The sequence below is a fragment of the Homo sapiens genome, chromosome 2 (genome assembly GCF_000001405.40).
Source record: "Homo sapiens chromosome 2, GRCh38.p14 Primary Assembly".
NCBI lineage: Eukaryota > Metazoa > Chordata > Mammalia > Primates > Hominidae > Homo > Homo sapiens.
In genome coordinates this window covers 214,144,754-214,170,835 of record NC_000002.12, presented here as the reverse complement: position 1 = coordinate 214,170,835, position 26,082 = coordinate 214,144,754, and the positions used below count along the sequence as shown (strand labels likewise).

At 34.4% G+C, this 26,082-nt stretch overlaps 1 protein-coding gene across 15 annotated transcripts in view; it reads right to left on the bottom strand.

Moving 5' to 3' along the window:
* Window positions 1-26,082, bottom strand: part of SPAG16 (sperm associated antigen 16) — a 1,126,038-nt gene that overhangs the window by 239,666 nt on the left and 860,290 nt on the right. For 13 of the 15 annotated variants that reach the window (NR_047659.2, NR_047660.2, XM_011511814.2 and 10 more), the window contains one exon: window positions 21,570-21,696. Coding sequence is in view for 13 of the 15 variants with exons in the window: in XM_011511814.2 (XP_011510116.1) it covers window positions 21,570-21,696 (127 nt within the window). In the remaining 2 variants the exon portion in view is untranslated. Of the gene's footprint in view, window positions 1-19,797; window positions 19,961-20,628; window positions 20,658-21,569; window positions 21,697-26,082 lie in introns of those variants that run through there. The other 2 variants (XM_011511816.4, XM_011511818.3) reach the window with 2 other exon arrangements.

Sequence of the window (26,082 nt, the reverse complement as noted above, 5' to 3'; positions counted from 1 at the left end):
TGTTAGAGTTGGCACAGGTAGATTATTTGAAGTGTGCAGACAATAAGACCAAAGAGGGTACAGCAACATGTCATGTAATCAAATTCACTGTTTCAAGCTACAGGACATAATCATGAGCTTATACCACAACACTTCTATTTCACACATCCAATTGACCTGAAATTGATCAGTACTTGCGATATCCTGAAGATAGGCAGTCTGAATAGCATAAATAAAAGGCTTATTTGATGATAACCCTGTTTCCTAAATCACAAGGTTTTATTATCTTCTCTGAATGAAAGTAATATCCCTTTTTATGTATATACAACCCAGCAAGGGACACAAATGCAACAGAAACTTTCTAAGCTATTGAACTTCAAGGGATGCTTTCAGAAAATGAGGTTATGATGACCTTCAGGAGGTTTTAGTATCTATCCGATTGTCTGCAGGAGCAAGCTAATCAGTAGATGATGATCTTGTATTTATGTGAGACACTAGGTAGAATTGCAGCAATGAAATTAAATATATATTTAATTAATTTTATTTTAATTTATATCTTATATGTGTATGTATATGTACGCACACCTAAGTGTGTGTGTATATGTATACACACCTAAGTGTGTGTGTATACGTATACACACCTAAGTGTGTGTGTATATGTATACACACCTAAGTGTATGTGTATCCCTCTCCCACAAAAGGCATTTTTTTAATGACAGAAAAGTCATTTGAATTGATATTTTTGCTAACTGAACCTCTCTGAAACAAAAACATAATGCATGTGGAGTCAAGTGGTATAAAATTTATATTATTTATATGGCTTCATCTGAATTTTAGCATTCTGTAACATTTTTAGATCAAAGAAATGTCTTTGATGAACTCAAACCAGAGAGATCAGGTTACTGGCCAGCTAAGTCCTACTGAGTGGGCAGGCCTCCAAATAGTTCACTCATATATTTTTCACTGTATTGCTGGCAGAAATTATGCCGTTTTCCCTTTTTATCCCCAGGATAATTAACTTGTTCATCACCAAGTTCACTGGCTTAATAGCAATACAATCCAGGCTCAAACGCTTTAAGGATACTTTCCAGGTAAATGAGACCACATTTAACTGAAAGTTTAAACAAAATTAACAAGTCAGTGTAGTGAGGCTCCCAATCATCTTAGATAACTTTCTAATGTTGTATATATGTCTCTAAGAAGAGAATATGTATTACCATACTCTCTGCTAGACAAAAGAAGTTTCTATTCAACAGCCGTTCGTCTTACACTCAAGGGAAGGCAGCATTTCTCTCCAAAAATATTGGAGAGAATATCAATGGGGCTAATCTCTTCAAAGTGCTCGGAGCTCAAAGCAATTGCCTGCAGTTGTAAAGAGTCCCCACCCTCATTATCTCAGCAAAAGAAAAATGACCAAAATGCAAAGTACTGACCGGCTTTGGGGACAGAAGTGCTCAAAAGAAAGTTAAACACTAACCAACTCACTTTTAAGCGCAACACTTTGAATTTCAATTTACTTCCTTTGAATAAAGGAGTCAAATTATGATTGTGTTCTTTTTTAACACAAAATGGGGAGTTAAAGTGGTATAAAATTAAATTATATTGGTTAGTAACAAATAAATACATTAATTTACATCTCAGATACTATTATAGTCCAAGAAATAATGACTTTTTCAATTTAATTATGAATACTCAAGGATTATCAAATTATGAGTTACGTGATATAACAAGTTCTTTTCTTGGCATCTTATTTCATATGATAATGTTCTAACCTACAAAAGAAAGATGGTGTTTCTGGAAACCATTAATAGAAAACATTGGGATATATCATACACAATCATAATGACTTAGTTTTGGAAACAACATAAAATATTTAATTCAATGTTTAATTGTAGTATTCCATACACAAAATCCTGCTGGTGAGATAGCTGCATTTGAAGTAACAACACTTGCTCAGGCTACCTTGTCACAGTTTCCCACCATTAAGTAAAATAGTACCACATCCTTTGGAAGTTCTCAGATACTGAGTCTGGAACCTACCCGGGGGGTTTGTTCCCCTTTGCTCTCAGGTAATCGATTCAGCGTTATCTTAATTTCCTTATTCATTCCACTCTAATCACGTGGACCTCTGCAACATTTTTTTAACTAATGGTCTGCCTCCTGGAACTTTCAGCCTGAAATGTTCTTGCCAAGACCTGTGCATGACTTGCTTCCTCAGTTAGGAAAGTTGCTTTTTCTCAGAGGCCTTTCCTGCACATCTTATCTAAAATATGACTATCCACTCTTTCACTGTGTATACTTAACATGGCTTTATTTTGCTTATACCATTTATGAATGTGTGTGTGTGTGCATGTGTGTGCGTGCGTGTCATGTGTGAGACAGAGACAGAAAGAAAGAGGTAGTTAATTTTCTGCTTCTCTGTGTAAACAATAAGGGCAGAGACTTATGCCTTATTCACCATGTTTATATGAATATTTCATTAAGGCTCACAAAAAACAACATGCACTATTTTGTTATTCTCATTTTACAGAGGCGAAAACTTAAGCATAGAAAAATTAAGGAACTGTCTAGGCGCAGTGGCTCACACCTGTAATTCCAGTACTTTGGGAGGCTGAGGCAGGCAGATCACTTGAGGTCAGGAGTTTGAGATCAGCCTGGCCAATATGGTGAATTTCCATCTCTACAAAAAAAATACAAAAATTAGCTGGGTGTGGTGGTGCATGCCTGTAATCCCAGCTATTCAGAAGGCTGAGGTGGGAGAATCCTTTGACCTCGGGAGACGGAGTTGCAGTGAGCTCAGATGGCACCACTGCACTTTAGCCTGGGTGACAGAGCAAGACTCTATCTCAAAAAAAAAAAAAAGAGAAAAAGAAAAAAGAAAAGAAAACAGAAAAAAAGAAAAAGAAAAGAAAAATTAAGGAATTTGCCCAAGGTTAGAGAATGAATAAGTGGTAGAATCTAGATTCAAAACCAGTCAGTGTCACTCTGGAGACCTTGGTTCCTAACTGTTCTACTGTCCCTGTACATAACTAAAATGAAAAAAAAAAAGTATATAATTAGACTGAAAACATTATATTATCAAATATATATTATATAGTGATTTTATAGTTTCATAAAAAGTATACAATTAACTCTTTTATGATTTCATGATTTTTCTTTTACATGTGTTTCATATTCTTTTCAAAAATGACTGCAGTAATTATAAGACATTTAGAATAACAAAAATACACATTTAAAAAAATATTGCCTCCTGTGGGCATATAGAAGGGATCTAAATGTTACTGTGTTTTGAGAACATCAGTAAAGTATCCTTTCCTTTCCTTCTCCAGTTTGGAACCACCCCCAGGAAAAGGCACAGGATTTATAGGGAGAACAGAATGCAGCTAAAATGTGATAAGGCCAAGCTGAACACATAACACAAATTTGTTGGCTCATGGGCATCCTAACACTCCCCACAGTGAATGAACCATGCCCACCTAATTATTGGCAGCATTGTGGTAACTCAGGCCTCCACTGCTGGTGCTGTCTGCTGGCAGTAATAGATGGAAGAACCTGTGTGACTAGATGACAAGTTTTTCCAAGGAGAGCGGCACAAGTAGAGGCTATTCAATGACACCAGTTACCAAGATAGATACCACTTTCATAGAGGGAGAGAGGAAGGAGGGACAGAGCCGGAGTTAGAATTATGCTATGTAAGTGTTTTAACCCTGACAGTAGAGTGGAAAATCTCTTCCTTCCAGACATATGTGAAGTCCAAGGAGTTAAGCTTTATTAACTTCCATTAGGTATAAATGCTAACTTTCACTTGGCTTCAGCTGAGTCTTCTTCATCTGCCCTTCTCCTCCTCTCTTTCTAACTCATTTGGGAGGAGATGGGTAAGACTTAGTGTTAGATGTGGGAGGTCCTTAAGACCAATATGGCCAATTAAAACAAGTTAAAAAGATACCAGCTCTTCTTGGTTTCATACTAGCATTATTTATTTTCATTTTTTCTCTTTCATGTACAGAAACATTTTTACTTGATTTTCTTAATATTGAAAACTCGTTATATATTCACTTTAGAAAATTTAGAACAAAAGGCAAAACACTTCTCAGAGAATGCCTACGCACATTGTAGTGGTTAGCATGCCAGGCCTTTTATGAGCAACTGTGTCGGTCAGGGCCCCGCCAGGAAACAAAGAGCCCACTCTCAGAGGGAAGTTTTAAAGAGACTTATTAATGAAGGGACTAAATATTTACCAAGGGGTAAAGATAGAGGAATAAATTAAGGAAATACATATGTAAATTAGAAGCAGTGAAGAGTTGTTACTGACACTAGGCTTGAGGAGAGAAAATGGCCTAACAGGAGCCTGGCTGAGAACCAGTCTCAGGAGTAAGTCGGCCTGATGGGAGCTGTAGCTGGAGAGTAATGCAGCCACTGTGCAAGTGCACCCGAGCCCGGGGGCGTGGAGGGAGTAGATGCTCCAATCTCCCTCTCTTCCTGCCCTTCACTCTCCTGTAAGTGCCTCCCATTCGTCAATTCCAAACACAAGTCAATAGGCAAGTCAGCCTCCCAGGGAATAGAGGAAGGCAGAGAAGAACATAGAATGGATGAGTGGAGGAATGGGGCCAATGGAGAATGAGCAGCACAGCATCCTGTCTATATACCTCTCTATCTAGATGATTATTGTGAAGTTACATCCTATATCCCATTTTTCCACTGCCTTTGTTTTCACTATGTACTATGAAAATCTATCTTTATATTTCATTATATGCACATTTATGACATTTTAATAGTCACATGGTATTCCATTGCATGGATTTGAGATATTATATTTGAACAAGACTTATGCTTAGACATTTAATTTATTTTCAGATAATCTTCAGTGATTATCTTTTCCTGATTGGTGTCTAGAGATGTCTTTTTGAATTATTTTATAATTAATATGAACAATGCCCTCTTTATTTTAACATTAAGCACCTAAATGAGAAACTCATTTTTTCACGAGAAAGCTAATTGACTTTGAATTGTAGCAAATATGGCTTTCTTAACACAAATTCTGCCTTCATTAATGAAAATAGTGGAGCAGTATGCTAATCTGGTTGACTGACATATGATGGGGTTATAAGCACTACTCTCAACAGCATATTCACCACTTTATGCTCAGTTGGCTGTCCCAAAGCCAGGTCAAGTCTTTCTTATAAGTAGCAAAGTTTAATTGTTGACTATGATTTCAAGGGGGTGGGGGGCAGTGGGGACAGAGAAAAATTATAGAATAGTTTAGGCCCAGGCAGAGGAAGAATGGAGGTAACAAATCTAGACATATGACCTAATGAAACTGTCTTAAAACAAACTGGATGTCAATTTTGGCAAAAAAAAAAAAAAAAAAAAAAAAAAAAAAAAAAAAAGGATGGTGATGCAAAGCATTTTTAAAAGGGGTCATTTTTGATCATGAGAAGACAACAGGACTAAGCATTAGAAGATATGTTGGTGGAATGAATTGGATTAAAACCTATAAACGGGTATGCAGATACAGTGTATTATTACTAAGAAGCCCCCTACGTTGAGATGAGGTTTCTAAACACTATTTCACATTACTTCAAAGTTCCAGAAAGAATAAGCAAAATACTCCAAAATTCTCACTGATATAATAGTTTTCCCCCTAAAATGCAAACTTTTTTTTCATGCAAACTTATGCAGATGCAAATATCTTCAAAGAGATTCTCAAACTAATTTAATAAAACTTATGTCTGTCAGGCTGATAATACTAAAAATTAAACACTTCTAAATGTTATCAACATCAAAATGTCTACATATTATAAATTTCCATACAGTAAAGAGGGAGAAATTATCCATTGATGTGGAACTAGAAAGTAGCAAACTCATGAACTATCTCCTCCTCAGCAGAACATCTAATAGCCCTTATACAAGAATATAAGAGTAGTTTACAAAATTTTTCATTACATGATATTATTAATTGCTGTCTCTTAGCAGTGTCCGGAGCATTTAAATTTCTACACCATTTTATACTGTTAAGTCTCTGATTTAAGTCCCACCATGTCTTTAGACATAAATAGGAATGATTTGCTGTGGATTGATCATCCATAATTAATAGCAGACAAATTCATTGGTTGTTCTTTTATTTGAGATCAAATATATTAGCTCTCTTTTAAGTTGCATGTGTTGGTCTCTTGGCAAGATTTTAATTTACCTATACCCCATCAAATGTACATGCATTTAAAAAATTGAGCTAACTTATAATTATTTCTTCTTTTTAGAATAAAGACCAGCGTTGGTGCCACAGTCAAGACCATCCATAATCTGCCCTTGGCTAACACTTTGATCCATCTCTCATAGTTTTCCTTATCCAATCTCACTCACAAAAAGCATAATTTAGATTTAAATCTTTTGCACTGCTGTTTTTTTTCTGGAATGCTCTTCCTGCTGATAACCATTTGACTGATTCCCTCAATTCATCCAGGTGTCTGCTCATGTGTATCACTTCATAGAGAAGTAATCTCAGAACATCCTTTCTAAAGTAATATTCCACTTCATCACTCTTTGTTCTCTTAACTTGTCTTAATTTTTCATAAGACTTATCACCACTTGGCAAATATGTTGGCATTAATTTCGGTAGCTATTTATCATCCACCTCCCATTCACTGAACCTTCTTTCTCAAGTAGAATGTAAGTTCTATGAGAGCAGATATATTTTTTCATTGCTCTATTTTTACTGTCTAGAATAGGGCATAGTAAATATTTCCTGAAAGAAATAAGATCATCAAGGGAAAGACAAGGTCAAGACAATCACAATGTAGCATTGTGAGGGTTAATTTTATATGTCAATTTGGATAGGCCATTGTACATATGGTACCCGGTATTTGGTCAAACACTAGTGTAGATAATGCTGTACAGGTATTTTTTTTAAAGACGTGATTAGTACTTGAACTCACAGACTTTGGGTAAAGCAGATTACCCTCCATAATGTGAGTGGGCCTCATCCAATCCAATGATTTCATCCAATCAGTTGAAAGCGTTAATAAAGAAAGACTAAGGCCCTCAAGAAAGAAGGAATTCTGCTTCTATACTACCTGTGGACTCGAGCTGCAATATCAAGTTTTTCTGAGCCTCTAGACTGTTTGCCTAACCTGTGAATTCACAATTGCCAGCCCCCGCAATCACATAAGCTAATTCCTTAAAATAAATCTTTTCCTCTCTCTCTCTTTCTCTCTCTCTCTCTATATATATATGTATATATGTGTGTATATATATATGTATATATGTGTGTGTATATATATATACACACACACATATACACAGACACACACACACACACACATATATACATACACATACATTCTTATATATACACACACATATTGGTTCTGTTTATCTGGAGAATACTGACCAATACAAAAATTTTTCTAAGCAAGCATACTGATGTAGGAAACAATGCAACTATTATGAGTAAATTAACCATCTCAAAAATATAAATATCAGATTGGGGAGAAAAACAAAAATAAATAAAAACAAATTGCCATAAAAAGGTATGGAAAGTAAAGGTATGGAAAAGATTACTTGGAAAATATGACATAAAAAGGTTTGCCAACTTTAATGTGAGATAAAATAGAACTTAAGGCAAAATCACATGAAAGAGATGTTATATTTGACAAAGGGAAAAAAGATCAAGAATGTATAATGATTATTCATATATATGTATCTGGAAACATAGCCTCAAAATACATACAGTGAAAACTGACAGATTTATATGGATAAATTAGTTACCATTTGTGGTTAAGGATTTTAATATATGCATGTCAGAAACTGAGATCTCAAGCAGTCAAAAAATAAATTGTATAAATTATTTGAATAACTAGTTAATAAGCTAAATTGAAAGTTCTATAAATTTTTTGAATCAACCAATTGCTGCACAGAAATGCATTTTTTGCCTAAACAAGGGGCAGTGAACAAATTGTCTATATTTGCATAGAAGATGAACTTAATGCAGATCATGTTCTCTAACAGATTGAAATACAGTTTGAAATTTTAAAAGGGATAACTCCAAAAGTCTCAAGAAATAGAAAACTCAATGGATACTTTTTAAAAAGAAGTACAAAGAGTGTGGCTTCATTTAGATATTAAGCAGACAATACTAGAACATCACGGCAACAAAAACAGTATTGTGCTAGATCAGAAACAGGCAATGTTACCAGCATATTAGAAAGGAAAATTCAGAAAATGATGTGTCTATTGGTTTGAAGTTGATCTCTAATAAAAGTGGCATCACAAATCAACGAGACAAGTTTCAATAGTAGAGTTGGTGGTGTTAAGAAAACTGACTTATTAGAAAGAGAAATAAAGTTGAATCTCCCTCTATAGTCATTATTGTTCCCAGTACTTACTTCTTCCCTGTAATAGGGTTAAAAATCTCCACCTATTACCATGAAACTTGTCTTTGATATCTGTAGTAATAGGATATATGTCCCCATCTCAGTGGTTTTGTACTTGGTTTATAACTTGCTATGACCTTCTTATGGTCAATGGAATGTTAAACAGACTTAAAATTTGTGACATCTCAAAAAAGATTTAAATGTGATTGCACAAGTTTGGTTTTTCATTTGACCTGCTCATTCTATGAGGACATGTCCCACCAAAAGGTCCTGGGATCTGAAATCAGACACATGGCATTAGGCTGAGCCCAGGAAAGCAAGTCAGCCTTGAACTGTCCTGAAGCTTTCTGATAAGGGAACGAGAAACAAATGCTTCTATAAGTCAGGAAGATCCTGGGTTTCTTTGTTATTGCAGGAAAAATGGACTGATAACACTCCCTTGCACCTCGGATTAAAGACCTAAAATGTAAAAGCTACCAACGTAAAGCTAAAAGAGAAAGATGCTAGAAGAGAAGAATATTTTTGTGACCTAACAGCAGGGTTGATATTCTTCAGCAATCCCTCCTCCAAAAAAATACAAAGACAAACAAAATAGTTTTGACTCTTTAATTTTTTAAAAATTTTTTAAATTTATTTTTAAAGTTATTTTTATTTTAAGTTCTGGAGTACATGTGCATAATGTGCAGGTTTGTTACACAGGTAAAAGTGTGCCATGGTGGTTTGCTGTACCTATCAACCCATCACCTAGGTATTAAGCCCAGCGTGGGTTAGCTATTTTTCCTAATGCTCTCTCTACCCATCAACCCCACCCCTCTACAGGCCCCAGTGTGTGTTATTCCCCTCCCTGTGTCCATGTGCTCTCACTGTCCAACAGACACTTCCCAAAAAAGACAGTCATGCCACCAACAAACATGTGAGAAAAAGCTCAACATCACTGATCATTAGAGAAAGGCAAATCAAAACCACAATGACATACCATCTCATGCCAGTTAGAATGGCAATTATTAAAATGTCAAGAAACAACAGATGCTGGTGAGGTTGTGTAGAAATAAGAATGCTTTTACACTGTTGGTGGGAATGTAAATAAGTTCAACCATTGTGGAAGATGATGTGGAAGTTTCTCAGAGATCCAGAACCTGAAATACCATTTGATTCAGCAATCCCATTACTGGGTATATATCCAAAGGAATATAAATCATTCTATTACAAAGATACATATATACATATATGCATTGCAGCACTATTCACAATAGCAAAAACATGAAATCAATCTAATTGCCCATCAATAATAGACTGGATAAAGAAAATGTTGTACATCTCCACCATGGAATACTATGCAGCCATAGAAAGGAACAAGATCATGTTATTTGCAGAAACATGGATGGAGCTGGAAGCCATTATCTTCAGCAAACTAATGCAGGAACAGAAAACCAAACACTTCATGTTCTCACTTATAAGTGGGAGCTGAACAATTGACTCAATATAATCTAAATATTTCAATTTAATAAAAGACATTCTAGATGAAATCAGTAAACTTCTGTTTGAGAAAAATGTTTAGTGCAGAATGCCTTTAGGTAGCAAGGGGCTTATAGGAAAATTATGCATCCATCATTACAGCAATGGATAAATAAAATAGTAAGATGAATAATATGAAATACTATCAAGTAGACAGAATTGATTAAATTGATAGGCATATATTAATGTGGGTAAAATGTAAGAACATGCTGTAAAATGAAAAAGCAAGAAATTGAATGGAATGCATAGCAAAACATAGTTTTTAGAAACTTACATACGTACATACACAGAATAATTTTCTCTATATATACGTTCTTCAAGGATATCTGCAGATCTAAGAGAACATATTAAAGACATTTAAAAACTTCCATGGAGAATGGGAAAGAATGAAAGTAGGAACGGCACATAAAAGGAGATTAATAAGTTTATCACATACTGAGAAGTATGATTAATTCAGTTATTTGTACCTGATGAAAAAGAAAAAAAAGGATGATAAAAATGATTACAGAGAAAGGAGCTAAGGGGGAGTAAGAACAGCAAAAGAAGTAGAAGGAAAATAAGCACAAGTAGCAGAAGGATCCACTGTTACAACCAAATTTGGATAAGGAAAAATGGTACCTAAAGTAGTATAAATACAAGAAAAAAATCAAATATTATGAAAGGCATAAAGGATAAAACAAAAAAGCAGTAATAATCAAAACTTACACTAATTACTGAGTCCATTAATTTAATTGAGTCCATTAGAAGAGAATTAGGTGGTTATATAGCTAATATTATAGGAATGCCCATCTTTTTTCTCCACCTTCAAATACATGCTATTCTTTACAAACAGCACTCAGATGACACATGTAGCATATAACATGTGGAACAGTTTGTTTGCAATACTCCTAGTCATTACCTGCAAATTCATGTCTATTGTTTCAATTTGCTTTGTAAATAGAGTATTTTCTATCTCTTTAACACTGAATCCTAGAATTTAGAACAGTGCCTGGCATATAGTAGGCTTACATTAAATATTTGTCAACCGAATTAACATAATTCTCACTGTTAGACCAACAGATATATAAGAGAGGGAATGATAACATTTTTGGATAGAAGACATGGTCTGAAATGTATGTCTATTATTCAAAGATGCTTATCATTATTTCAAAATATTTACAGAGTATTGATTTTCATAATAACAATATGCTATTTATTCCTTTCAATTATTTTTTCTATTGGTGATAGAGTGCATGGTAGGAGATGTTACATGAAGATGACTTTAAACAATTTTTATTTACACTTCTCTTATAGAACAAGTGAGAAAATATACTTCTGAGTTCAATCAGATTTGAGTAAATCATATTTGAATATAGTTTGAAATTCAATTTTAGATAAATATAACTACAAGTTATCACAAGTGCCAACTGTGCAGGCTCTATCTCCAAGAGTAGTGTGCTATTTGTTCTGGGTTGATTTGCACATCTGTTGAACTACAGCTTCCCTTAAAGGATTATCCTATTAAAAAGTATCAGCTTGGCAGACTAAAGATGATTATCTATTCAATTTTGTATACACAGTCTATTAAAAAGATGACAAATTCTTGAGCTACTTGACTTTGGGTCATGCAGTATGTGTGCACTGCAAATTTTAACTCTTGATTTTCAATCTAATGACTAGTATATGCTATTAGATCTAAATAACACATTCCTCTTAAATGTAATAACTGCTCCTTAGGAAAAAAGTAAAAGGTCTAATTATCTCTTCTTTCTTTGTATAAATTTATTTCTATTGATTAAAGTATGTATGAAGAATGTCATCTTTTCATGTTTCAAAATGACCTATGCCAGCCTATACATGTAATTTTTATTATATCTGCAAACATACCAGCATAGCTAATTATATGCACTGGAGTAGTTTCTTGCCTAGATGATACTAAGATGTGTATAGTTACGCAACTAATTTCTCATACTTGCCACATAGATACAAATCTTTTGAATTTCTTAAATGTGTTGAAAAATAATTTGGCATTAGCACATTGTTTATATACATATATCTTCACTAAATATGATTACACTAATTTAGAATTCATCATTATTTGGGCATGTGCTAGATTAAAATTGTTTTTATATAACTGTGTGCATCGTTATATAGTTGCTTTGTAAACAATTTCCAAGGAGGTATTTAAGTAGGAAAATATTTCCAAGCACCTTTTGATTGTCTATACCTATAGCGTTCCAATTATATTATTACAATTATACTTTTATGTAACTGTATCAGAGCGCTAAACAAAAATTATAAATATACCTATTTTAAAAATACTACCCCAAATTAAGGAATTAACCAATGACACTCCTTTGACTGCACCTGCATAATGCTGCAATTTGTAAAGTTATTTTTCGGCTCTGATTTAATCAGAATGAGTCAGGTTCTTATATAGTCCTGTAAGAAGACTTTGATCCAGTCATTAATTTAATTTATTAAAATGTTGGAATTTATGCATTTTTTTTGTTCAAAATTCCTGTTGCTACAGAGACCGTGTTGTGAGGTATGCGAGAATAACAATTTAGTCTTGCTGAGCAATACAGCTGCCATTTATGTTTGGGGCTCAATTTTTAAATAATATTTTTATATCAAATTTTATTTCTGTTTTGGATCGAGGAAAAGTGGAATGTTTTACTTACATTTTGATGTTTTATTTTCAAGTTTAAAATAGCATAGAGGAGCATTTAAATTTTATTTTAGAATATTATGTTTGACTCAGGATATCATGTTCTAATTATTCTAAACATAGGAAAAAATGCAATTGTTTAAAACTTAGGCTGTGAACCTAATTGATAACGTCACCTAATCAAAACCTGTATTTTATTCATGATAAAGTTGAGGTCAAGAGAGGTTAAGTGTCCTACTCAATTTCATATTACAAATCACAGATGAACAACAATTTTACTGTTTAGACCCTCGTTTGTTCCTGATTCAAATGTCCTTTTCTGATGGAGACATGAATAATTTCTCGATGTTTCTGAAAATTCAGTCTAGACTCAGAGAAAAGATTTGTGGGTATTGGGGAACCTTAAAACATTGTGCTTAAAGTTGTGAAGACAATTACAAAAGGGAGGATTCATAATTTGTGCAATGATGTTATCATTAGATTAAGTATACAATCTTTCAAGCCTGATATCAGAAAGGAACAAGACTTCGTTTCCTGAATAAATTATATTTTGTAGAAGTCAATAACTTTAATTTATATTAATCTATCATAAATCATGCAATTGAAATGCATTTTAGTTATCATAATTTATGAGTCATCATTAGGATAGTCTAAATATTTAATAACTGATATGACATGATCACCAACCAATCAGAATGGACATTATACAAATCAGAACAGGTTTATGGTTATAAAACTGCACAACTATGACTATTATCCCTAAATTAATATATTTTTGGTTGTTTTTAGTTAAAGTTTTCAAGGTGTCCCCATTATTATTAATATGTTATTTTCCATACTTGCTGGCAGATAAATAAAATTGCTTCTAGCCTAGGGGATAAGAAGACAAAATCAAAGAGAAAAATAGTTAAATTTCCAGATAAAGCATAACAGTTTTTTTTACTGTACAGTTCCTAATTTACATTACATTAAAATTACATTTTAATGAAATGCAATTCTGACTTTTACAGAACTGTAAGAACATGTGTATTTATTAATATACACATGTAATTAAATCTCTTAAAACTTTAAAATGGGAGGAAGGAAACCCAACTCATGTGCTGCGGTGATTGAAAAAGGAAGCATGATTCCTGGAGCATAGCATACCTCATTCCAGGTATTAGTCATAGACTTGTGCATCCAAAGAGCCACATAGTCTGACATCCTTCAGTTTCTCCAGTTCCTTTCTCCAGAATCAGTGAGGCCCAAATTCTACTTAAGAACAAAATGGATTTGCATATACAATAGGGTCACTCAACAGGTAATGAAATAATGGGATTGTAAAATAATTCAGAAGGACCACCTGGTCACCTTTTCTCTCTTGTATTTTATCCTCTCCTCTTACAGCTCTGTGTCCAGATGTGGTAGAATGGGCTTGTTCTTCGGAAGAACATCTTAGTTTGGATCTGCCTTATGCTTTAGAGATAAAACAAGTTGGCCTGCTTTCTTCTTCTTTTTAAATTATTTTTTGTCTGTTTGTTTGTTTTTTAGAGACAAGGTCTCATTCACTCATCCAGGTTAGAGTACAGGGGCAGGACTATAGTTGACTGCAACCTGGGCTCAGCCATCCTCTTGCTGCAACCTGGGCTCAGGGATCCTCCCACCTCAGCCTCCTGAGTAGCTGGGACTACTGTTGTCCTACCATATCTGCCTATTTTTAAAATGTTCTGTAGAAATCAAATCTTGCTATGTTGTCCAGGCTAGTCTTAAACTCCTGGCCAAGAGATCCTCTCTCCTCAACCTCCCAAAGTACTCGGATTACAGGTGTGAGCCACCATGCCTGGCCCAGTCCACTTTCTTCTTTTCCTATTTCAGTTTTTAATAATTATTTTTAAGCAGACCAGGCCTTAAATAAAAGACAAAAAAGTGCTCTGGAGGTGCTGGCTGTCTTTGTCTCTCAGTTTTCTCAACTATAAAACAGAAGCAAGAATAACAATCTCATTTTGAGTTGTGGTGACAACTAAATTCAGCCCTAATTCCTTGAATAGGAATTTACACTGCAGTGTAAGGTTGGAGTTCTAGCTCCCAGGAGGAAAACAGATGTAATGAGAATGCCTCTTGCACATAAGACCTATCAGAAACCTGGAAGATAATACTAGGGAGATTCTCTTTTAGTGTTTTCTTCCAGAGGCAACTAATTGAAAACTAATGTCAATAACAGGATTCCATGTCTTAGCTTTGAGTCAACTATCACTAAGTGTCATTAATGGGACTATTTCAATATTCATAGCAAATGAATCATTTCTCCTAACAGATGCCATGTATCAATATAAAGCCAAATACAATTATTAGAATAAGAGTCAGAATAACATAAACTTACAGATTTTAGTCTCTGGATTTAGACTCTGGATTTGAATTTCAACTCCACATTTAATCAGCTAGGTGACAGTGGGCCTGTTAATGCTTTGTCTCTCAGTTTTCTCAACTATAAAACAGGGGCAAGAGTAACAATCTCATTGAGTTGGGGTGAGAATTAAATAGGTGAATACATGAGCCAACACGGTGGTTCAAAAGACTTTAGTGTAGGACAAGATCCAGAGGTGTGAGTTAATGTTGCTTCACTATGGAGGCGATATTCTTCTGAGCACTCTAACTCAGCAATTTTATTTTTATGTAAAGAGCAAGATAGTAAATATTTTAGGCTACCCTCAGGCATGGTGTCACGTGTCTGTCTTCCTAGCTTCTCAGGAGGCTGAGGCAGGAAGATTGCTTGCACCCAGGAGTTCCAGACCAGACTGGGCAACATCATAGGACCCCGTCTTTAAAAAAAAAAAAGTAAATCTTTTAGACTTTGCAGGCCATATATCTCTGCTGCAAATGCTCAACCTTGCTGTTGTAGTTTGAAAACAGCCTTAGAGAATATGTAAATAAATAAGCGAGGTTGTGTTCCAATAAAGCTCCATATATGAAAAGAGGCCAAGCTGGCCCATGGGCAGTAGTTTGCCAACCTGCTGTCTTTTTGAATTGTAAGGTTTTCCCATTCTTGTTGGTGCGAACACAAATTATTTCCAGGCCTGTGTGAGCTCCTGGGATTTTCCTTCTAATGCTTAAGATAGATTTTTTTCTGGCCTCAGGCTTTCATGTATTCACTCTTAGCCAGCTGAAGACTGGAGGGGACTCTGCAGATCTCCAGTTCTCTGTGTGTGGCTCATAACTCTCCTGTACCCTGCCCTGCAAACTCAAGCTGCCTTGGCCTTCCTGGACTACCCACTGGCTCTTCAACTCTGGGAATTAGCCAAAAGTCCCTTCATCCCTGAGTTGAAACCTAGAAACTTTCTCCAGGCTATATTCTGGAGCAGTCATAGGGCTCACCTTGTTTACTTTCTCTCTCTCAGGTATTACAGTTTTTTATTGCCAAATATTACATGTCTGAAAGCCCTTGTTTCATATATGTACATACATTTTTGTTTCTTTCAATCGTTTTAGGTTAGGAATAAATCTGGTTGGTCTTTGTTACAACATCTTGTCTGGTAGTAGAAGTCCCTACAGATTTTTATCATTTTAAATACAAAAAAAATCTGAGGCTCAGAAATATTTGGAAATTTTGTCAGGATCATTTTGCTAGTAACTAGTGGAGAGAAAATTCAAAACTTGGGCTTCTAACTTCTAAATAAATGTTCTCTCCCTTACACTATACTGCTTCTATCAGAGGGAATTAACTGCAAATTTCCTATTAAATAAAAAATGATGAACTGTAGATTTTTCTAGAAGAAACTGATGAATCAAATATGAACCAAGGGTTTTAGAGTTATCTTGTTAGGTTATGAAAAAATGGGGGGGGGGGGTCTGATACTTTTTGCATTTTGAATGGAGTCATATTTTCGTCCCATTTTGGGATTTCTATTGTGGTTCCGATTGTGGAGAACATAATGTTGGGAAACTTTGCTCATTTTAATGATCTGATACTGATAAGCTTTCTACTGGAAAGTGCCCATCTGGCTCAAACTTCAGCTTCTGCATTTTCTTAGGACTTAGGATGTGACTTCTTTGCAAATTTCCTGGAATTAGTTTTACAAAGGAGAGAAAAATATTGCTAAACTACATAAACATGGTGAAATGAGAGACGTGGAAAAGTATGTATATAAATTCTCATGGTTCATTTTTATTACTTTCACTACGCAATTCCATTTAACATTTTCTGAAATAGCAATAAATTTTTGAATGATCAAACATATGGCATTTTGAGTAGGCCAGGTGAGAGACATTATTTAGGTAGTGAATGTTCACAAAAATGTGTAGCATTATATTACCAGGAGGCTTTCTGTTTAATGAGAAAGGAGCACTTATCCCTTCACAAATACTTGGGATATAAATATATACTACTATACACATGTATCTGTGTTTGTCACAAGCAATGTATTTGATAATAAAACATTATGTAAATAATGCTGTGCCACATACAACTTTTTAAATGTATGAGAGGCTGATTTTTTACAGCAACAGGAAAAGCTAAACTCTAGGGGGTGATTCCTATATGTTTATATCTTGACTTAAAATATATATGTATATATCGCATTACATATAACTTTACTGATTAAGCAATTTTTAATATTACATAAAAGTGAGGTTTTGATCCTTGTTTCTTTTATTATTTGTTTATTAATACTTATGCTTTCCCTAGAAAACTTCTACAGTGGCACCCAGCCTCAAGCATCTTTCTTGTGCACCAATATGTTTAATTTCTCTCATCCCTAAAAGGAATGAGTTGACCTCTCAGACCCCTTCAGCACTAGGATAAAACATGGTAGACTGTGGGTGGCAAGCCACCCAGGCGCCGAGGCAAGAGACCAAGGACACGAGCTGTTCCAGAATAATAAAATATAAAACAAGAATAGTTATACCAGATATAGATCTTAGATATGATTATATATGAATATCAATAATCATTAGTTTGTAGCAATTATTCTTTATTCCAATATTATAATAATCCTCACTCTATAATCATGACCTAGGAAAAACCAGGCCATACAGAGATAGGAGCTGAGGGGACACAGTGAGAAGTGACCAGAAGACAAGAGTGCGAGCCTTCTGTTATGCCTGGACAGGGCCACCAGAGGACTCCTTGGTCTAGTAGTGATGCCAGCGTCTGGGAAGACACCCATTGCCAGGCGGACCGTGGTCTAGCGGTAGCGAAATGTGTCAAGGAACAACACCCACTACTTAGCAGACCGGGAAAGGGAGGCTCCCTTTCCCCGGGGCAGTTTAGAGAAGACTGCTCCTCCACCTCTTGTGGAGGGCCTGACACTAGTCAGGCTTGCCCGCAGTTATCCGGAGGCCTAACCATCTCCCTGTGATGCTGTGCTTCAGTGGTCAAGCTCCTAGTCCGCCTTCATGTTCCATCCTGTATACCTGGCTCTGCCTTCTAGATAGCAGTAGTCAATTAGTGAAAGTACTAAAAGTCTCTGATATGCAGAAATAATGGCATAAGCTGTCTTTCTCTCTGTCTCCTCTCCCTCTCTGCCTTGGCTGCCAGGCAGGGAAGGGCCCCCTGTCCAGTGGACACGTGACCCACGTGACCTTACCTATCATTGGAGATGACTCACACTCTTTACCCTGCCCCTTTTGCTTTGTATCCAATAAATAACAGCACAGCCAGACATTCGGGGCCACTACTGGTCTCCGCGCATTGGTGGTAGTGGTCCCTGGGGCCCAGCTGTCTTTTCTTTTATCTCCTTGTCTTGTGTCTTTATTTCTACACTCTCTCGTCGCCGCACACAGGGAGAGACCCACCGACCTTGTGGGGTTGGTCCCTACAGTAGATGAAGATGCTGAGTTCCTTATTAGAGAATATCATTATCCCTTTGAGTCCACGTTAGAACACTGCAAGGCAATTGTCTCTTCCATTATTTCCATGAGGAGAAATAGGTAATGTGCCTAAAGTCTAAAAGGTGCTGAACATGTGATTAAACCTAAGGGTCTGAAATATATAGTCTATATTCTTTTTCTTCACCTTTGGTTTTCCAACATTTTTGCCAAAGCTACATTTTAAAAATGATACTCTGTGAATAATCTCTATTTTAAGACAGATAAGGTACTATTTATTAGTACATATATACTTTTATAAATCCACAAAAGCAATATTTACTTATGAGGTTAATAAATAGAGAAAATTTTGTTATACATCAAAATTTGAAATTTAAGATTATAGATAACAGTTTCAGCCTTTTAATGACCTCTACTTTCAATTTATTCCTATACTGTGTTGGATTTGCAGTGATAAGAAATCCCTTATTTATAAAGATCTGTCATTTCATAAGAAAATAACTCTTTTTAAACAGTACACCTCACAACCTTGAGACACCCTTAAATTAAACTGATCTAGAGACATTAAATATTATTAGCAACTTTTATGTAATGGCCACTTAAAGTATCTAATAACCACCCACATTCCTTATATGAAATATCTCAGACAGGATGCTATTTATAATTCCACATGTGTTACATAACATTATGATGACATTACATGTGTGTTTTCAATAGTCCAAGAGCACAGCGGAGACAGCAGACCATTGCCTGGCCTCACATTATATAAGTTGTGACAAATAACACGCTAGGTGTATATAACTGCACAATTTAGTTCTGTCACAGAGTTTTGACTAGAAAAAATGGTTAGACATAACTAATGTGAGCCCTCAATACATGTTCATTATTGCCAATAGGGTCAATTATATTCTTGCTTTTTTTGAAAAAGATTACATCATATAGGCTTGTATTGGCTTGCCACTGGGAATAAATAAAGGTATATTCAAATGAATGTGTATTTTGAGATTACTAAATTAGATTTTATTTTATTCTCATATTTTCATGATACAATTTTGTTACACTTCTCTTTAAATCATTTTTTTTCCTGAATAAATGCAACTAGAAGAGACCTATGTGCCCCATCCTTATTTCAATTTTGTTTGGCTCTTAATTTGCACTCTTCTTTACTCTCTTGAGATGAACATAATTTCTAGCACTTAACTTTGTGACTTTCACCTCTTTCTTCATTCTCTCATTAGATTTTATGTTTGTTTTCCCCAGTTTCTTCAATTTTTGATATAATTCAACCTTTTAAATGAAGAGTCATTGAGGACTTGTCTTGTACAGAAGCACAGATTTCTCATTATTCAATGAGAAAATCCTTATGACAGTAATTTCTCACACACATGGAACTAAAATTTATTATGGTATGTTCCTTAAAGAAATGGTCAAAGGGATGGGAAGGTCAGGTTGAAATCATATTCCTTCAGACTGATAAAGTGTTTTCATTAGAGTCCCTCGTTCATACGTGTTGTCTTTGATGTTTCTTGCTGTTCTACTGCTGATTCTTATGCTTTTCTTAATATTAGTGTATCACCAAGTATATATCAGTCATGGAGAGAAAAAAATAGGTTTGATGTACCAAGGGCCTTAAAATCACACTGACCTGTATGACAGAAGATAGGTACTGTAATTTATTTAAAATCATGTTTATCTAAGTATGCAAATAACTTTTGGGCTGGATGACAAGGATGGCAAAGAGCAAGTGGCAACATATTTAATGACAATAAAATACATGGCTATTATTAATTGTAATGATATTTCAAAGCACCTTTTAACTTCTACTATTAGGAAGTACAGACAAAATTTTGAAATTTCGGAGTTCAAAATTCAAAGACATGAATACTTGAATGCTAGCTCAAGATAATAAAAAGGGATTTAAGGATGTGAAATGTTTATGAAAATCAAGTGAAAGCTGTAAGAGTTCCTTTAGAGCTATGGTGTCAATGTAGATTATATATGCCAAAAACTATAAATTGACCCTTTAATAGGCTTTTGCAATATAAGATGAAATTCCCATAGTTGAGACTTCTATTTTGAAGAGTGTTTTCTTTTTTTAATTCTGGCAGACCATAAATGTCTTAACAAGAATATTACTAAAACATTTTTAAAGAAGCCATTGTTACTAGTGTGGTTCATATGCCAATCTGTAATGGGAACATAACTTAAAGTTTGTTAAGAAGACAAACTTACCATTTTCTAAATTTCAGATATGTGATGGCAATATTATGAAACCAGTCCCAAGAAACACACAATTATCTTCTGGCTCTAGAATTACTCCTGGTATATTCATACTTTCTGGACTAAAGAATAAACGTGGACTATCTTAAAACAATAAAATATTTTCTTCTTATTTGTTCTTTACTTCTTCACCTAAAATCAAGTTTTTGCTATCGCCACAACTTTGATTTACCACAAATAATGCTCAAAGATTCAAAATATTCTCAAAACTTAAAATAGTTTAAAACATGTATCACAATAGCAAAGAAAAAATATATTATTCAATAACATATATACATTATTTAGTAAACTCTATCATTAAAGATGCAGATGCAACTGTATTTTTAACCTTATAAATGGACAACTGGAATTATTGTGTGGTTCATAAAATCAGCTGCTACACTATTCCTCATCAACAAGGATAAAATATTTTATCTAATTGATAATACTTATATCATTGTGGAATAAAAACTAAATATAATAACATTATAGAATGCACAGCACATAATTGCAACAATAAGATAAATGTTTATCTCAAATTAGTTGTAAACTCTACACAATATGGGGTAATTCATTAAATTTTTAACATTAAATTATTACACTAAAAATATTTCAGGTTCATTTTTGCTAAACTTTTGTTCTTCTCTACTGTTAGCTATTTTGCCTTTAGAAAATCGAATTTGCTTACCTTGGATGATGATTCTGAGGAATGGAGGTTTGAATATTTTGCATGGCACTGCTAACAAACCTATGCTATCTAGATTAGTACACATTATCACCTATATTATTTCTGACTTTAAATATATGAATATAATTCTTTCATATGACATGCTATACGTAATGATAAAATATATCTTAATGTAATGTAATATAATGTAATATTAAGAACAGACATTTACGTAGAAATACATACATTTAAGGAGAAACAAAATAGTTTCAGAACAAATATTAATGTTATTGGCTTAGTCAGAAACATTAGACAAAAATGATCCTACCTGATGAATCAAAATTCACCTCATTGCCAGGACTTGGACCTATATCGATGGACACAATTGGTAACAGCTTCCGAAAGTCCCACAGCTTTGTAACCCCACAGGCATCACAGGATGCTATCATGTGACCCTTCAAAATATAAGATAAACAAAAATAAAATGTGTATGTATGTATATATATATATATATATACACACACACACACATATATATATACACACACACACTACATATATACAAATACATATAGTAACCTATAGACAAAAGGTAAGTGTTACAGTTTTATTACAGCCATAAGATTACATTCCTCTAAACTAAGAAATAGTTGTTAATAACTTTATTTTGGACATAAAATTATTAAAATGATATTCTTAATATATAAAATCCTACACTAAATTTTTGGAGTTAACGTTTCAGACAAGCATTTTCATTTTAACTACATTAGAAGATGTAACAAAACAAAAACATGTACACTCATAATTTGCATATATATACATATATCATATAATGCATATGATATATGTGACACATAAAAACTGTGAATGTGGGAAAATTATACCACATGCATATCTCAGCTTTTATGCTCACAGTTAGTTAGCATTGATAATTTATACCTCAAATAGAGAAAAAACAAAAAGAGGTAGGAAGTAAAATGGACACAGTGAGAGAAGAATATCGCATAGCAGGTAGAATGACAGGGACCAGGTGAAGTTGATGGCAATGAAATGGTGCCTATTGTAGTCTGTTAGTCAAAATTCTCAGAAAACATAGTTGGGCTTGCTTTGGTAACATGTAGTGGAACAAGGAAGAAGGTAATTGGATAAAGGGGAAGGAAAACAGAAGGAAGGGTGAATGGATTCAAGTGACATGGCAATGGAAGGTGGGGAGAGATAGTTTTGCAGCATAGTAGCAGTGGCCCAGGCTCATCAGTTCAGTTTGGAGCCCAGGGTCTGTCTACACGCCTCCTGCTGGTCTCTCAGGAAATGTTTATTGAGCATCTACTTTGTGACAGAAATTGGAGATATGCTGGTGAATAAGAGGGGTTTCTGCTCCCCAGCAACTCATAGTCTTCACTCATTCTCATCATTCTGGTCATTTAATTTCTTTGTCCACTCACAAATTGAATGAGTATTGGCCACATTAAAATCATCAATTATGTTTATAAAACATCAATATACTGTTTCCCATTTGATGTACAGTTTCCCTTTCAGCTGCAGTTCAAATTTTTTAATGTCAACTTAAAAACTATCCTCTCATTTTCTCCCTACGTTATTTAAAATGTTAATGTTAATACCTTAATTATCCTATAATTTTCCTTATCATTTTGAACTAGCTCACATATTTTCTCACTTACTCCTTGATTTCTATTCTTTCTGTAAAAATAGTACATCCTGTATTACAGTTCAAGTGGACTCATTGTTTTTCTCTAAACACACCAGTAATGCAATGAATGCAATTAGTTTTAAAATTCTATAACTGTTGTCACTGGCACAGTAATACAACAGCCTTGTCCCCAATCTAATAAATGAGATGCTTAATCTTTTTTATGACTTAAAAGGAACATGGAGAACTTGGAATGCCCTCAAATATGTAAACATGTATTATAAGAATTGTGAGGAATCAGTGAATTTCATTTCAGAAAAGGAAAGAACAGTTCTCAGTATCGGCAAGGAATATTAATGTTAGAAATTAGAAAGAATTCTTTCCAAATATAAGGGCTTTCAATGATCTGAGAGAAGTCACAGAATGGAAATTTTTTTCAATTTTGGGAACAGAGTAGGTAAGTTTTTATCGGAATTTAATCTGGATGCACCTCTTGCCACAGGCAGGTGGATGGACTTGATGTTCTTTCATTGTCTGGAGTCTATGGATTAAAGAAAATCTTGAAGTATACTTTATCCCATTGAATATTAAAATTTGAGGAAGTATACTTAAAATAAAAAATAGTTTCATCATTGTTATTGTGTGAAAATGAGTAGGTAAATAGTTTTAATATTTTTACATTTAATACTTGAAACTTCTATTGCTGTCAAATGATCAAGTGCAATAGTTTGATAATATGAAAGTGAGTCAATATTTATGAAATGCTTTTAATGAGCCAGGTACTGTGCTAAATGCTTCATTAATAAACTAGTACATAGCAACTTCAAGCAATTTTGAATAACTAACATCCTTTAGCTAGACTTTTTCCATTGCCTTAGAAACTTAAAAGCCATGACAAAGTATGCATTATGGTAAAATGAATATGAAAATTTTTTTTTTTTTTTTGAGATGGAGTCTCGCTCTGTCACCCAAGCTGGAGTGCAATGGCACAATCTTGGCTCACTGCAATGTCCGTCTCCCGGGTTAACGCCATTCTCCTGCCTCAGCCTCGTGAGTAGCTGGGACTACACAGATGCCTGCCACCACACCCGGCTAATTTTTTGTATTTTTAGTAGAGACGGGGTTTCACTGTGTTAGCCAGGATGGTCTTGATCTCCTGACCTCATGATCTGCCCACCTTGGCCTCCCAAAGTGCTGGGATTACAGGTATGAGCCACTGCGCCCAGCCAAATATGGTAATATTTTAAGTAATAGAAATAAGTTTGCATTTAGATTTGAGAACTGAAAGATACTTGGTAACGGAAGAACAGCTTAACTATATATCCAGTTAGCTAGTGAGGCAGATGCAGTGTCTATTACAGTGTTTGGAGCATAGCAGAGCTCAACCAAGTATTTGTTAAGCTGATAGATGAGTAATGCTTCCACAAAGGTTACCTAAAAGTTTTATTTTGGTCCAAGTCCTTCCAAAGCAGTTTTGCAGGTGAATATTAATTCCAACCCTGATAGGTCTGAATCACTTACAAGACAGAAAGCAATGGAAGAGGCAGAGAATCCAGAATCAATACTTAGAATATTCTAATGCCCTGTATCCTTCTTCTTTCTCCCATTTCAGGAAAATTGGAGGGCCATCTGCCAATCTCCTTCCTCGAGACAGAATAAACTAGAATGTTGTTAATCCAAACTGTGTAGTTTGAGTTTTGAGGGATGTGGAGATGGAGAGATGTGGGAAGGAGATTAGTTGACAACCTAGGGAAAAGTCATTTTACCTACAATTTATGACAGTCAAGCTATAGTTTAAGGCATTTAACGTAAATTAAGAAATATTTCAAAGAAAATGTTTTTAAAGATAGGTGAGATTTCATGACAATCTTAATGAAAGTCAAGACTCAAGAGGTTTGGAAATCTCTAAAATGCAATTCTGGTTATCATTGGTAGTAGTACTGATCCTGAGGATGGGAAGCTACTGAAGGTGGATGTGCAGAAAGCTCAGATTGAGAGCTATGATTGTTTTTGTAACACTGCATCTCCAGCATCCAGTATAGTTCTTACTACGTGTTAGACATTTGGTCTTTGAATAAACAATTGAATGAATGAATGAATACAAAGGGAATGAAGAGTAATCAACGTTGACTCTATGTGATTTAAAATAATTTGTTTCAAAAATATAGAAATATTAACTGAGCCGAAGCCCAAAAAAATGCTTTGTGGTCATAAGACTCAAATGAATTTAATTATGCCAGTAGAATTTAGCCAAGTGGACAAAGGGTACAGCTGAGATGAAAATGAATAGTCACCACTCCTGATTGCCTCTGTTAAGCCTCCCACCACCAAATTAAAGATCCTATAATGAGAAAACCATATAGACATGAAGTTAATAATAAATTAGAGAGTAGAATAACATAAGATCAATCTAGCTTCATCTAGGCTGCTGAGAATTTATAAGAGAAAAATTTAGCAATAGGTATCAAGTATCACAAAAATGTCCAAACTTCTGAAACTTTTACTATTACTTCTGAACTTTATTATAAATTAAAGAAAAATGTATTATGAAAAAACCAATGTAGCATTATTTATAAATACAAAATGGAAACAAGTGAAATTTGCAATAATAATCTAATATGGAAGAAGTAAACCTTGGGCTGTGGTGGGTTCAGAAAACTGCTTGAGGCAACTGTTATGTAAACTTGTTATCAACAGATGCAGAGAGACAAGCAGACTGAACTACTATCTCTCTGCACAGAGGTTCCAAATGTATTTATATATGGTAAAACTAAGAAAGAAAAGGAGAAAACTGGAATGTTAATGAGGTCATTAATAATTTAAATAAATAATTAAAATACTATTTTATAAACCAATAGTATTCCTTAATATAAACATATCTTATGGCATTGTATAATTTTTTAAAACAAATATTTCAAACTTGGGCATTATCCTAACTTTTAGGATTACGGGGCTAGTGCTCAGGTTAAGAAATATTATATAGTAACATAATTTTTTCTATGAAAGTCCCTATGTCTTTATATTGCATCTCTAAAAGAAATAGGATATTAACCTATTTTGGAAGACTCAGGTCCAATTTGATTGTAGTTTGAACCTTCAACCTGATGAGTCAGCTAAGTAGTTTCTTGGTTCAACTTGCTGGGTTTCATATACACGTATGTTATATATATAAATACCTTTTTCTTTTGGAAAG